This window comes from Homo sapiens, chromosome 12 (genome assembly GCF_000001405.40).
Source record: "Homo sapiens chromosome 12, GRCh38.p14 Primary Assembly".
NCBI lineage: Eukaryota > Metazoa > Chordata > Mammalia > Primates > Hominidae > Homo > Homo sapiens.
In genome coordinates, this window is record NC_000012.12 from 2,255,129 (window position 1) to 2,268,138 (window position 13,010).

Sequence of the window (13,010 nt, forward strand, 5' to 3'; positions counted from 1 at the left end):
TGACCTTGGGCAAGTCAGATTTCCTCTCTGTTTGCCATCTGCAAAATATGGATACAGACCCGTGCTCCCTCCTGGTTTTACTGAGGTACTGTGAGAGCCAGTGAAATCACGGTTATGGGATGCTCAGCATTCTGCTGCAGAAAAAAAAAAAAAAAAAACCTAGTTACTAGGAAAGCACCATTCCCCAGGTGTGGGAGTTCTCAGTACCTGTGTGGAGTTTGCTAACAGACCTGGGGTCATTCGGGGTGTGACAGGCAGGCCCTCTCTCCTAGATCCAGGTCCATTTACTAATGTCCTTGCCCATCCATGCCTGCAAGAAGGAAGAGATGTCTGAACTGCCAGGAGGTGGTGGCTACAGATGGTCCCTGGCACAGCAAGAAGGCAGTGCCAATCAAAGGAGGTCGGCCTCTTCAATTAGAACTCTGAGCAGATGGGGCTGAGGCAGCCAGAAGGGGCACTTCCCAGTTTACTAAGTGTGTGACAGTAAGCTGGTGGCCTTCAGAAGACCAGGAGGGTCACCTGGTTCATTTCCTTTCTGGAAGGAAGGGCAGTGTTTAGGATAAGTCAGATGAGATTCCTCCTCATTGGACAGATAATAAGCTTTATTGTGAGTTAAGCAATATGCTTGGCCCTACGGATATCACATTAAACAAAATAGACCTGACCCTGACCTTACTAGTTTACAATCACACGATCCTGACCTTACTAGTTTACAATCACAGGATCCTGACCTGACTAGTTTACAATCACACGACCCTGACCTGACTAGTTTACAATCACACGACCCTGACCTTACTAGTTTACAACCACACGACCCTGACCTGACTAGTTTACAATCACACGACCCTGACCTGACTAGTTTACAATCACACGACCCTGACCTGACTAGTTTACAATCACACGATCCTGACCTGACTACTTTACAATCACACGATCCTGACCTTACTAGTTTACAATCACACCTCCTGTTTCTTGCCACTTGCACACAACTCAGGGATGGGGTAGGAGGAGGAATATCATAAATGCAAATTCCTGTGCCTTACACTGGAGCTACTAGATCAGACTACCTGGAGGCTAAGCCCAGGAATCTACATTTTTAACAAGCTTCATAGTTCAGCCTTGCACATATTAAATTTTGAGAACTGGTTACTTCTCCATCAATGCATGGGGTAATCAGTCACCTTGGGCACATTGGTGTCTTAAAAATGACTTAAACACATAATTGGAACTGTTTTGCTAAGTCTAGCCTGTGTCTACGTTGCTAGAAAAGCCCTTTTTCCCCTTATTCTGATGGTATAGAAGAAAACAACTGCTTAAATCAAATGAATTAATGTGTTGATTGAGCTTTCATTACCTGTCTAGCTTCATGCTGTTTGGAAAATAAATATAAAAGCTATAATCCTGGCCCCTGATGAGCGTACAGGGTTCTTGAGTTGATAAAACACACCAGTTAACCAGTTAGAGATGACGAGAAGATGGTGCAAGATTAAGAGCCAGGACGTAAAGCAGATGGCGCGTTTCCAGGGGTAGAGAAATGAGGACATCGGCAGGTCAGCATTGCAGCCACATCCTTTCTAGCCATCCTCAGATTCCAGCCTAATGATCAGTTGTAAACTCCTAAAGAACTTAAAAAAAATCCTGGAAAAATTCAGGAGATTCAGGGTGTAGTATAGGAATCTGTTTGATTAAAACACTCCACAGGTGATTCTGATGGGTGTTTCCAGGTTTGGAAACCAGCATGCTACCTTTTAAAATAGTAAATGGATTAGTTATCTCTTTTTTAGAGGGGGCATGAGAACAACAGTTCCTTTATCCATTCTTCTATTACACCAGATATGTTACAGTTGCACTCAAAAATCGTGGTGACTCAACACAACAGAATGTAAACCCAATCAGGACGGGGGTGGCTCTGCTCCATATTGTAGGGGACCAGGGCTTTGCTGTCTTCGTTGGTGGCTTTCCAGGCCTCCCTGGGTGTTAACATCCAGCACTCAGACAGTCACAGAGGAATGAACACAGTTGTTTGTAATGGCGGCCAAGATCGTCCAGGCCCGGAAGTTGTGACTATCACTTTCACTGACATTTCACTGGCCAGAAGTCAGCCATGGGCCACACCTGTCTCCAAAGGAGGTTGAGAAATGTAGTCCAGCTGAGTACCCTGGAGGACGGGACCAGGCTGTGGTGGGACAGTTCAGTCTTCTCTAGCACAGCGGTCTCCAACCTTTTTGGCACCAGGAATCAGTTTCGTGGAAGACAATTTTTCCATGGAGGACCGAGAGGGGATGGTTTTGGGATGAAATTGTTCCACTTCAGATCATCAGGCATTAGATTCTCATCAGGAGCATGCAACCTAGATCCCCAGCATGCACAGTTCACAATAGGGTTTGCTCCCATGAGAATCTAATGCTGCTGCTGATCTGACAGGAGCTGGAGCTCAGGCTGTAATGCTGGCTTGCCCACCGCTCATCTCCTGCTGTGCAGCCTGGTTCCTAACAGGCCATGGACCGGTACCTGGGGGCTGGGGACCCCCGCTCTAGCGTGTTCCCTTCCTCTCCAAGTCTTTAAGCATTTTCATTGATCTCTTCTCCTCCAGATTCTCCCAGGTTCTCAAGCAGTGAGGTTCCAAACTAAGGTTTAACTCTCTAGTCTTCAGAATGTTCTTTTCTAACTGTTAGAACTGCAAAGACAGCCTTGAAATGGTATATTCTTTATACCTGTTGCCTCCACTTCACTTGGTCTTACTGTTAGGTTTAACCTTAGGAAATCACTGATATTTTTTGACCTACAGAAGCGGCATTTTCATACAAGTGAATGCTACACTCTCAACTTGATTGAAGAGCACCCTCAATCTGCCTTCAGCACGTGCACTCCCACTCTGCAGTAGGCAGAGGTTTGAGAACCAAGCCAAAGGAAAGAGAAGAGGGAGGCAGAGTTTCTTTGTACTACATCTCATCACCTGCTGTGTTTGGGGTCTGCCCTGTCCCACCATAGTAAAGCTCATATCCCACCTCTTCCTGAAACCTTAATAATGACATCTTATTTCTGGTTATTTGCCAGAAGCTTTCACACACATGATCTCATTCATTGCTTTGAGGAATTCGCTTGTTTCCGCCTCTCAATTTATGAGATAATGAGAGTTATGTAATAATTCCCTTCTTCAGTTTAACTGCCAGGAAACTTAGGCCAGCATTTGTGATTAGTCAGAATAATTTTACTGTGTGTTTTTGGTTGGTATATATTGTTTTAAAATATGTATTTTACTCATTAATTTTTGAAAACTCATTTTTTCCTCAAGTTTTTTTTTTAAATGTGAAATTTTAAAAATCTCAAGTTCTTAAAAAATGATGTGGGATAAAACAACTAAATTTAATTATATCATCGTCTTTGGAGGACGGTGTTATCTTCATCTTGCATATGTAGAACCTGAGGTCCATAAAAACCAATTTTCCGAGCCCATAAGGCTCCTCAGTGGGGTAACTGGGACTGGGTTTCCCAACCAGATTTAATCCAGGGCCCCTTCTGCTGTATCAATGCTGCCCTTCCAGACTGTCCCTTTCATCATCACTTTAATCTCTTCCCTCTCGATTTCAGATAACTCGTATTTTAAGACGCCTGAATATTTTCTATCTTATTATTGTAGATATGTGAGCATCAGCTCCTTAAAGTTACCGAATATTTCTGATCAAATTCTGGTTATTTTTGTCTCATTAAAATGAATATTTAAGTTTTCAGGAGAGAAGAAGGCACAAATCTCCCTTAAAAAGTAATCCATTTGAGAGATGGATTAATAAAGTAATATTATGAATTCAATATAAATTAACATATGTGTTTTCAAATTCCAAAAATAGATGAGGGAGATGGAATTACACTAGTGAGTTCAGCATGATTCCTAACCAAGGCCTTTTCATAAGTGGAAGTCTTTCACCTGGCCCTGGGGAAATCACGGAACTCAATATTTCCTTCACTTAATTGTTTTTCTTTTCCATTTAAGGAAAGGTAGCTTAAAGCAGTGGTTCTCAGAATATGGCCCTGAACCAGCTGCATCAAAATCACCTGGGAACCTACTAGAAGTGCCGATTCTACAAAAAGGAAGCTCCCCACACCCCGCCCTGCCCCACACGGGACCCAGCAGTTTGTGTTCTAACAAGCCCACCAGGTTTTTGTGATGTATGCTGAAGTTTGAGACTGGTTAGCTTAAAACAGCCTCTGAGAGGGGCTGCAAGCCACTCTTTATTTGGATCATAACTAAGTAGTTAAAACATCCCTGAGTGAATTCAAAATGCTAATGAGGAAAATTAATGTCTTTATCAAAAAAAGAAAAAAAGAACAAAACAAACCTCAGGAGACCAGAAGTAAGTTGCCTCTTTAAGAAGCAGAGCCGCTTTGAGATGTTGCAAGGGGGAGCTAAGAGCAGGGCAGAATTTTCCAGTGTCTTTTGACAGGAGGAAGTGGTTGGGGACGACTTATTTTTTTGGCCCGGAGACAGCCTGTCATTATTAGACTAAGCATTGTATCAGATCTAAGTGTGTAGCTTTCTTAATGTAATGCAGAGCAGGAGCTATACGTTTTGTTTTGTTTTTCATTTTATCAGTAAGAATGAGTGCATTACAGCCTGGGCAATGTAGCAAGACCTGGTCTCTACTAAAAAAGTAAAATAATTAGCCAGGCATGGTGGCACGTGCCTTTGGTCCTAGCTACTTGGGAGGCTGAGGTGGGAGAATTGCTTGAGCCCAGGAGGTGGAGGCTGCAGTGAGCTAGAACTGTACTTCTGCACTCCAGCCTGGGTGACAGAAAGCACTAGTAATAGCTTTGTGAGCTAAGTCCCGCTTTCTTGGGTGTTCTCATGGTCATGCTCAGAGAATCCCCCTCTCCCCACCAGCATCCACCAGACTGCACACTGGTGTGCAGGAGAAACCAGCTTGCCTGGCAGCCTGGGTCCAGCAGTCCCAAACCATCAGAAGGAAGACCGACATCCTGCACCTCCACATGGTCACTAATTCCCTGCTGTGGGGGGCACATTTTGGCCTGACTTGGCTGACACAATCTGGGGAAAAAAGAGAAGTATGGGCTGAGTACTGTGGCTCTCACTGGTTAATCCCAGCACTTTAGGAGGCAGCAGCAGGAAGATTGCTTGAGCCTAGGAATTAGATCAGCCTGGGCAAGATGGTGGGACCTTGTCTCTACAAAAATAAAAATAATTAGCTGGCCATAATGCCACGTGCCTGTAGTCCCAGCTACCTGGGAGGTTGAGGTGGGAGGATTGCTTGAGCCCAGGAGTTTGAGGTTGTAGTGAGCCATGATCATATCACTGTGCTACAGCCTTGGTGACAGAGACCCTGTCTCTATTAAAAAAAAAAAAAAAAAAAAGAACAAGAAGAAGAAAGAGACAGAAAGAAAAGAAAGAAGAGAGAAAAGGAGAGGAGCACAGATTGCTCAACCCCATGGAGGCAAGGCTCTCACTTCTGCTGGTGGGGCCCTCGGCCCGTCCTGGAGTCGGGGTAGCATCATGGTTGAGATCACATGGACTCCTTGGCTAAAGTCCTGTTTTGAACACTTGTTGGCTGTGTGATCTTAGATTAGGCACTGTTTCTCTCTGCCTCAACATTCTTGCTCCTAAAGTGGGGTTAATTATATATACCTTGCAGGGCTATTCTGAGAATTAAATGAGTTAATGCAGAAGTTCTGAGCCTTTTTGGTCTCAGGACTCCTTTATATTCTCAATAACTACTGAGAATCCCAGAGAGTTTTTATTTGTGTAAATTATAGCTACTCATGTTTATTGTATTAGAAATCAACTTAATTCATTAAAAAACCGATTGTGGCCAGGTGGTGTGGCTCACACCTGTAATCCCAGCACTTTGAGAGGCCGAGGCTGGCAGATCACAAGGTCAGGAGATCGAGACCATCCTGGCTAACATGGTAAAACCCTGTCTCTACTAAAAATACAAAAAAATTTAGCCAGGTGTGGTGGCAAGCACCTGTAGTCCCAGCTACTCGGAAGGCTGAGGCAGGAGAATGGCGTGAACCTGGGAGGTGGAGCTTGCAGTGAGCCGAGATAGTGCCACTGCACTCCAGCCTGGGTGACAGAGCGAGACTCCGTCTCAAAAAAAAAAACAAAAACAAAAACAAAAAAAACTGATTGCATGTTAACATAAGCAATATTGTTTCTGAAAAATAATTTTTTTGTAAAACAAAAAAACAGAAGAGTGACATTGCTTTACATTTGTATAGATTAGTGTCTGACTTACTAGAAAACAGCTGGGTTCTCATATCTGCTCTGTCATTCAGTGTGTTATGGTATCACATCATGTAGGCTCTGGGAAACTCTGCTGTGTATTTGTGAGAGCATTACAGTGAAAATGTTAGAGTTGTTATAAAAATAGTTCTCTCCTCACAGATACACGAAAAAGGTCTCAGAGATCCTGCTGGGGTTCCTTGGGACACACTTTGAGAAACACTGGATTAATAAGTCATGACAAGTGTTTAGTATAACACCTTGCATATGGTAATCACTGAGTAAAACATTATTACAAACAGCACTATTTACTAGGAGATATAGCATCAGAGGTGGTTTTCTATACATATATGGGCCAAGCTCTAGAAGGGTCCTTGTGCAACACACACACACACACAACAGGTGCTTCTGCTGTTGCCACCAGCAGTTCCATGCCATCCCATCTGGCTGGGGGGAGCCCTGAAAGTGTCTGGATGTATCTGAAGCTGCTGTGCTGGGATGTGTGCAGTACTAATATGGGAATGACAGTGAGTGGACATTGCATCACATAGTAGCCTTTCCTCCTAGGAGGCAAAGCACTCACCTCCCCATCACCCTGCAGTTATCCTCATGGGGGAGGGAGCCAGTCCAGTCCCTTGGGAAGGCAGTGCCAGGGCCAGGACCTGAACCTGCCTTTCTGATCTACAGCAGAGTCAGGCTAAAGAGGGCAGGCAGAGGCTCGCCAAGGGGCACAGTGGAGTGCTTCAGGACTCACAGTTGCTGGGGCTGAATGCTGGAAACAGCTTGTCAGTTCAACCCAGGAGATGCTAAGATGCAGGCTAGAGTCGATGACTTGGTCCTCCCATCAGGGGCTTGCAGACCATGTGACAGTCAGCTGGCACTCCCTTGACCTTTCTGTTGAGTCCAGAAACCATAGTGCAAGCAGTGGGCTGAAAGCTGTGGCAAGCTGCTGTGTTGGCATGTAATTTGGAAAGCCTATTCACTTAGCCACCTATTAAACACCTGGTGTGTTTTGAGTCCCCAGTCTGTTTTCTTGTTCATCTCCCACCAAGGGAAAAGCAACATTGACCAATCAAAAGGCAGGCTCAGTCTTGTAGTCTCAGTAGTACAGTCTTCCCTGTGGCCAAGACGGTGTCTTCAGCATCTGCAGTGGTGTGTGCAGCCATAGGTTGACAATGAAATGCAGGGAGCCAGGATCAGGAATCTGACCTGCACCAAGAGCTGTGGGCAGAACAGACCAGCATCTGTGTGATGCTGTGGCTGGTGGTGCAGGAGGCCAGGAGGCATCCAGGAGCCAGAGGGATGCCTTGCAGGACTGGGGTGGGGTGGAGGCTGTGTCTAAAATATGGGATGAATGCTAAGAATCAGAAAGTTAGTGACCGCAGGCAGAAGCTCAGAAACACACAGCAGATGTGAAAAGTGCTCCTTGCCCCTGCTTTTTAAATGTTATCTGAATGCCCACAGTGGGCAGAAGCTACTATTCAGTCAACAAATAATGGTCAAGGGCTGGGCATTGTTGTAGGTGCATCACTAGTTACCTCAGTGAATAAAACAGACAATTCCTACCTGCAAGGAGGTTGCACTTTTGTGGGAAGAAGAAAATAAAGGAAAGGAGAACATAAAGGAAAAAATATAAATACGATACATAATATTAGACACAGTGGAGGGATGAATGCAGGGATGGAGATAGGGTGCTTCAGGGTGGGGTTATAGCTTTTAATAGAGGGGTCAGGGAAGGTGTTACTGTGAAGATAACGTTTGAGCAGACCAGTGGGAAATGGCGAGGTAAGTGCTGTGGATCTGGGGAGAGGGCATTCAAGGGAGCAGGAGGGCCAGGTGCAGAGGCCCTCAGGTGGGAGTATGCCCAGCGTGTCTGGGAGCAGGAGGGCCAGGTGCGGAGGCCCTCAGGTGGGAGTATGCCCAGCGTGTCTGGGAGCAGGAGGGCCAGGTGCGGAGGCCCTCAGGTAGGAGCAGGGAGGAGGCAGGTATGGCTGGAACACAGCAAGTGCTCAGAGGTGAGGTCAGTGAGGAACAGAGGGCACTTAGGGTCTTGTAAGTCATTGTGATGACTGTGGTGCTAACTTGGGGTGAAGTGTGAAGCTAGTGGAGGCTTTTTAGCAAAGGAGTGACTGATCTGTTTTGAAAGAGAATCATTGCTGGGAGCTTCTCGGTGTTGGTAGAAGTGTGACGGTCAGTCAGGAGGCTGGATCAGTAATCCAAGAGGCAGATGTTAGCAGCTTGGACCAGAGTGATAAAGGTGGAGGTGGAGAGAAGTTGCTAGATCCTTGATACATTCTAGAAGTACACCAGAAATGATCTGCTAACAGACCGGACATGAGGTATGAACAAAGGAAGAGGGAAGATGGACTCTATATCTTGGCTTGAGTGAATGGAAGGCTGGAGAGTCACCATGATCCGAGATGGGCAGGAGCTGGTTGGGGTGGGGGAGGCTCAAGAATTGGGGTTTGGACATGCCAAGTTTGAGATGCCCAAGTAGAGACTGACTGTAGAGGTCTAGGCTGGAGCAGGCAGAAAGACCCAGGATGTGCAAAGGAAAGAGGGAAACAGCAGCAGTAGCACTTGTTCAGCCAAGTCCTGCCTCGGAGATCAAATGCATAAAGGAAAGGAAATCTCAGAGCCAGCCTCTAACCCTGAGCTTAATCCCAAAGAGCAGCAGAGTAGCCTGGGGTATCCACCCCTCCACCCCGGTGGTGCTGCAGAGCCCCTGTTGCACTCACGGGTGGCAAGAGGCAGGGCTCAAAGCTTACCTCACAGGTGTGACTCCCAGGGAGTAGGGGTAGGGTGAGGACCCCGCTGGAACTGGAATGGACTCTCCTGTATAGTGATGCCTCCTAAGCCTGGGGATGCCTCTGCAAGGGCTCCAGGGGGCTCTCAAAGAGGAGCAGGCTCTGCCTTTCTCAGATCAGCCCTCTGGCTCTGTTGTTCCCTTGGGCCTGTCTTCAGATAACCACAGTAATCCAGGGAGATGAAATTGGCAGATCAGAAGCCCTTGATTAGACCTGCAGAATGTCTGCACTGACAAGAACTGCAGAAAGCATCCCGTTCAACTCCCTCCTCTTACAGATGGGGGAACTGAGGTCCAGGGAGATGATGGGACTTGTCCAAGTTAGAAGCTTCATGACCTAGGGCAAATCACTTAACCCTTGCAATCATGCCAAGTTGAGAGCATTTTCCTAAATGCTGTGGCTCAGAGATGGCTGTGTGCTCGTGGTTCCTCCTGTTTCTCCCTAACCCTCTTCCACATGGGTTTTTTACTGCCCGATCAGGGTTTGGGGAATGATTGGCAGCCCGGAGGCCAGCCAGCCCTTTTGGCAATCCAGTCAAATCTGCCCACTGGCTGATGAAACATGGACTCCCTTGGCAGCGAGTACTTCCTCAAGAGATATCTTGCTTAAAATTGATGGCCCCCCTTTGGCTTTGCTATTCCCCATGCCCTTGGTGGGGCAGAGAGTTAGTTCCATCCCAAGTTCTTCTCCATTTGCCAGAGTCCACCTCCACCCCAGCCCAGAGCTGTTTGCTCTGGCTTGCCCTATCCTGCGTTGGCTCCTTTCACTCTCTGCAAACCCTTCTGTCCTTCCCGTTGTCTGAGCTGCCTTTTTCTTGACTACTTCTTAAGCCTCTGGATTTCTCCTTAAATATCAGCTCTAGGACGCCTGCCTGATGAGCTGAGGTCATTCCTACCCTCAAGTGACCTGGTGAATTAAGCAACAATACCAGGGATTCCAGGACAGTGAGTTTGAAGATCAGCATCTTTGCTGGCCTGAGGGAGGCCCTTGGCCTGCTGGGGGTGGATAGAGTGATGCTGACCTTCTGCACAGGCTTTGGGAGGGAACAGTTAGTTACCGCAAATGTCTGGCTATCTAGGTGAAGCACTCCCGACCCTCTGCTCCTCAACTGTAGTTGTGAATTACAGAGCTGGAAACAGCACACGGGAGCATTTGTTCCACTCCTGTTTCAGGGACAAAACTTAGGCCTGGGTCTCTAAAACCAGAGGTGCTTGATGCTTCATCCCAAGGCTAAAGGGGCAGATGCCCTCTCTATCTGGCGTTGTGGTTTCCTCTACTTCCACCTTACTGCAGAGTGGGGGGCTGGAACGTTGGCAAGGATCCAGGACTCCTGTACCCTATCTCATTCTCCTCCCACACCCCTGTCCCTTCATTACAGATAGTCCAACCTCTTTGTTCTGTGGTTGCTGAATAGCATCCCCCAGGGGACCATCTTCCCTGCAAATGCAGGGTGACGCTGTGCAGTGGTTTCTCTGCCATCATCTTTTCTCTGCTGGGGATGCCAGAGCATAAACCCATGGTGCAATGGAATGTGCCTGGTAGCAAGGATGAAGACGCGGGGGCTCCAGTGTGCTCCACCCCTTCCTTTCTGTCAGCCTGAGTGCTCCCGCCCCCTTTGGGCCTCAGTCTCCCACAGAGAGGGAGAGCTGGGTGGCCCAGCAATCTCTGGAGCCCCTTTTGGCTCAGACCTCCTGCAGTTCTCTGTAGCCTCCTGGTTCCCAGTGTATTTTTAAAGGATCCTGTGTTATTTATCTCAGCATCTCTGCCCCCCTGCGCTCCACGCTCCTATCCATGCAGTAATGACATCCAAACACCCACACTGTATCTTAACAATCTGATGAGATAAATGCCTCATCGTTGGGCTCCGTGGACACAGAGTAGCAATTCTATTCTGCTATCAAAGAGCTCAGAAACTCAGGCAACCAAGGCAGGATGAGCAGGCATGTGGCTTGCCATGTGCCCATCATTGGGCAAAAACACATTCTCCCTGCCCCAAAGCCCCTGTTTTTCCCCAAAGCAGCCTCACTTTTTCCCTTCCTCCACCTCCAGAACAATGCCTTCGAGCCTGCTGGCATTTGAGAATGGGCCGGGCGGGCAGTACTGGGGGCATATGGCCTTGTTATTTTGATGGAGCTCCTAGTGGGATGCACCAGCCACTGGCCAGGTCCTGGAAATAATTAAGCTGAGCATATTGACCTGGGGGTTGCAGGGCCTTGGGCATGCTGCAACCTCCAACACCTGTTCTCATGCTCCTTCTGCAGTGACCCTCTCGTGCTCTAGGCACACCTGTTAGATGGAACCTGGGACTTTCAAGGTTGTCACTGCCAGGGCTGGCATGATGTGCTTGCACTCCTGCTCCCTTTATGGACCTGGGAGTTGGGAAGGTGCATTGGGTTCCAAGAGAAGCAGGAACTGATTTGGTCTTGTAGTGAAAATAGACCTGGCTCTGGTTTGGTAAGTGAGTGACCTTGGACTTAGTTTCCCTAGAAGCAGAAATAGGATAACAGTAAGTCTTCCCACTTCAAGGAATGTTATAAGGATCAAGTGAGATCATGTGAAATTCTTAGGAAAGCTGCAAGGGAGTCTACCTATGAAACACAGAGGCCATGGGACACAGAGGGAGGAGTAAGGGCTCGAGCTGGGCAGGCCTGGGTGTGAATTCCAGTGTTTCTCTTCAGGCTGTGCTGCCTAGGGAAATGTACTTACCTCTTCTGAGCTTTTCTTTGCTCTTCTGTCAACCAAGGGATAATGAAGCTACACTGACTGGTTACTCACAGTGATAACAGGAGTATCTGTTATTTATTAAACGCTTATGTTGAGCCAGGACCTTTCTTCCTTTCCTTTTTAAAACCTCCATAAAATGTAGCCGGATTTGTAATCACACATTACTTCACGTGGACTTTGGCTGGTTTGTGTAGTGTCTCTGTGAGAGCAGGGGTTCTACGGGTATTGCCCGGCGCTGTGTTTCCAAAGCCCAGCATGTGCCTGGCCCACGGTGGGCGCTTAAGAAATGTTCATGCAGTCAAGGGGGTGCAGCTGCCTGGCAAGGAGAACCCGGGAAATTCATTTACCCTTCTTATTATTCAGTTCCTTCACCTGAACTCTCTCAGGCTGGAGCTGAGCTTTGGGTTCATAATATATAATTATTCTCCCCAGTTAAAAATGACTAAACTGAGGTCAGGAGAGGTTAAGTGCTGTGCCCTAGATCACTCAACTAGGAACTAGGGAACAAAGCCTTCTTGTACAGTACTTGTCAGAGCCTCCTTGGAAGCTTGGGAAAAGGGTGTGGGCAGGACTGGGCAGGGAGGAAACAGCTGAGCACCTGCCGGATTCACCATCTGCCCCCATGAAGATACATGGAATCCTATCTCTCATAACGGCCTCCAGCCATGCCCATTTTACAGATGAGAAACTGAGGCTGAGAGGGAGAAAGAACCCGAAGCTCAGCTCCAGCCAGAGAGAGTTCAGGTAAAAGAACAGAATAATAAGAAGGGCAAATGAATTTCCAGAGTTCCTTCATCCCAGAGTAGGATGCTCAGCCTTGCCAGGCAGCTGCACTCAGCTTCCCGCCCTCTCTGAGCAGGGGGGTTGGAATGTGTCTGCGGAGGGCAGCGAGGAAGGAGCCTGCTGGAATTCCTTCCCTGTGGCACATCTGGGAGGGGTATTCCCCCTGGTGATACTTGGGAAATCATGCTGGCCTCGCCAGTCCTTTTTTCCACTGTTCTTTTGGTCTCGGAGCACCCGCCAAACATCTGACACTGTTCAGGATCGATTGCACATAAAATGAAGAATGGGTATTTAAAAAACAGGTTTTTTTGTGTGTTTTTCCCCCTGTTGTCATCTAAGAAGCAGGTTTTTAGGTTCTTTGATTCTCTCCCAGAATAACAACCATATGGGGCCTCCACTTACACTGAGCAGCCTGTGCCTTGTGCCAGGGACTGGTTTGTTTCCATTGTCAGCAAACCTTG

General features: G+C 47.3%; 1 protein-coding gene across 55 annotated transcripts in view, besides 2 other annotated features; it reads left to right on the plus strand.

Annotated features, from left to right (window-relative positions):
* The window catches only part of CACNA1C (calcium voltage-gated channel subunit alpha1 C), a 727,171-nt gene that overhangs the window by 284,349 nt on the left and 429,812 nt on the right, over positions 1-13,010 (plus strand). The window lies entirely within an intron of this gene.
* Positions 313-814: an enhancer, noted in NCBI's record as "OCT4-H3K27ac hESC enhancer chr12:2364607-2365108 (GRCh37/hg19 assembly coordinates)". NCBI's record gives its function as "activates a minimal SCP1, AML or CMV promoter by ChIP-STARR-seq in naive H9 embryonic stem cells {active_cell/tissue: H9 hESC(naive)}" and the evidence as "EXISTENCE:reporter gene assay evidence [ECO:0000049][PMID:30033119]".
* Positions 815-1,314: an enhancer, noted in NCBI's record as "OCT4-H3K27ac hESC enhancer chr12:2365109-2365608 (GRCh37/hg19 assembly coordinates)". NCBI's record gives its function as "activates a minimal SCP1, AML or CMV promoter by ChIP-STARR-seq in naive H9 embryonic stem cells {active_cell/tissue: H9 hESC(naive)}" and the evidence as "EXISTENCE:reporter gene assay evidence [ECO:0000049][PMID:30033119]".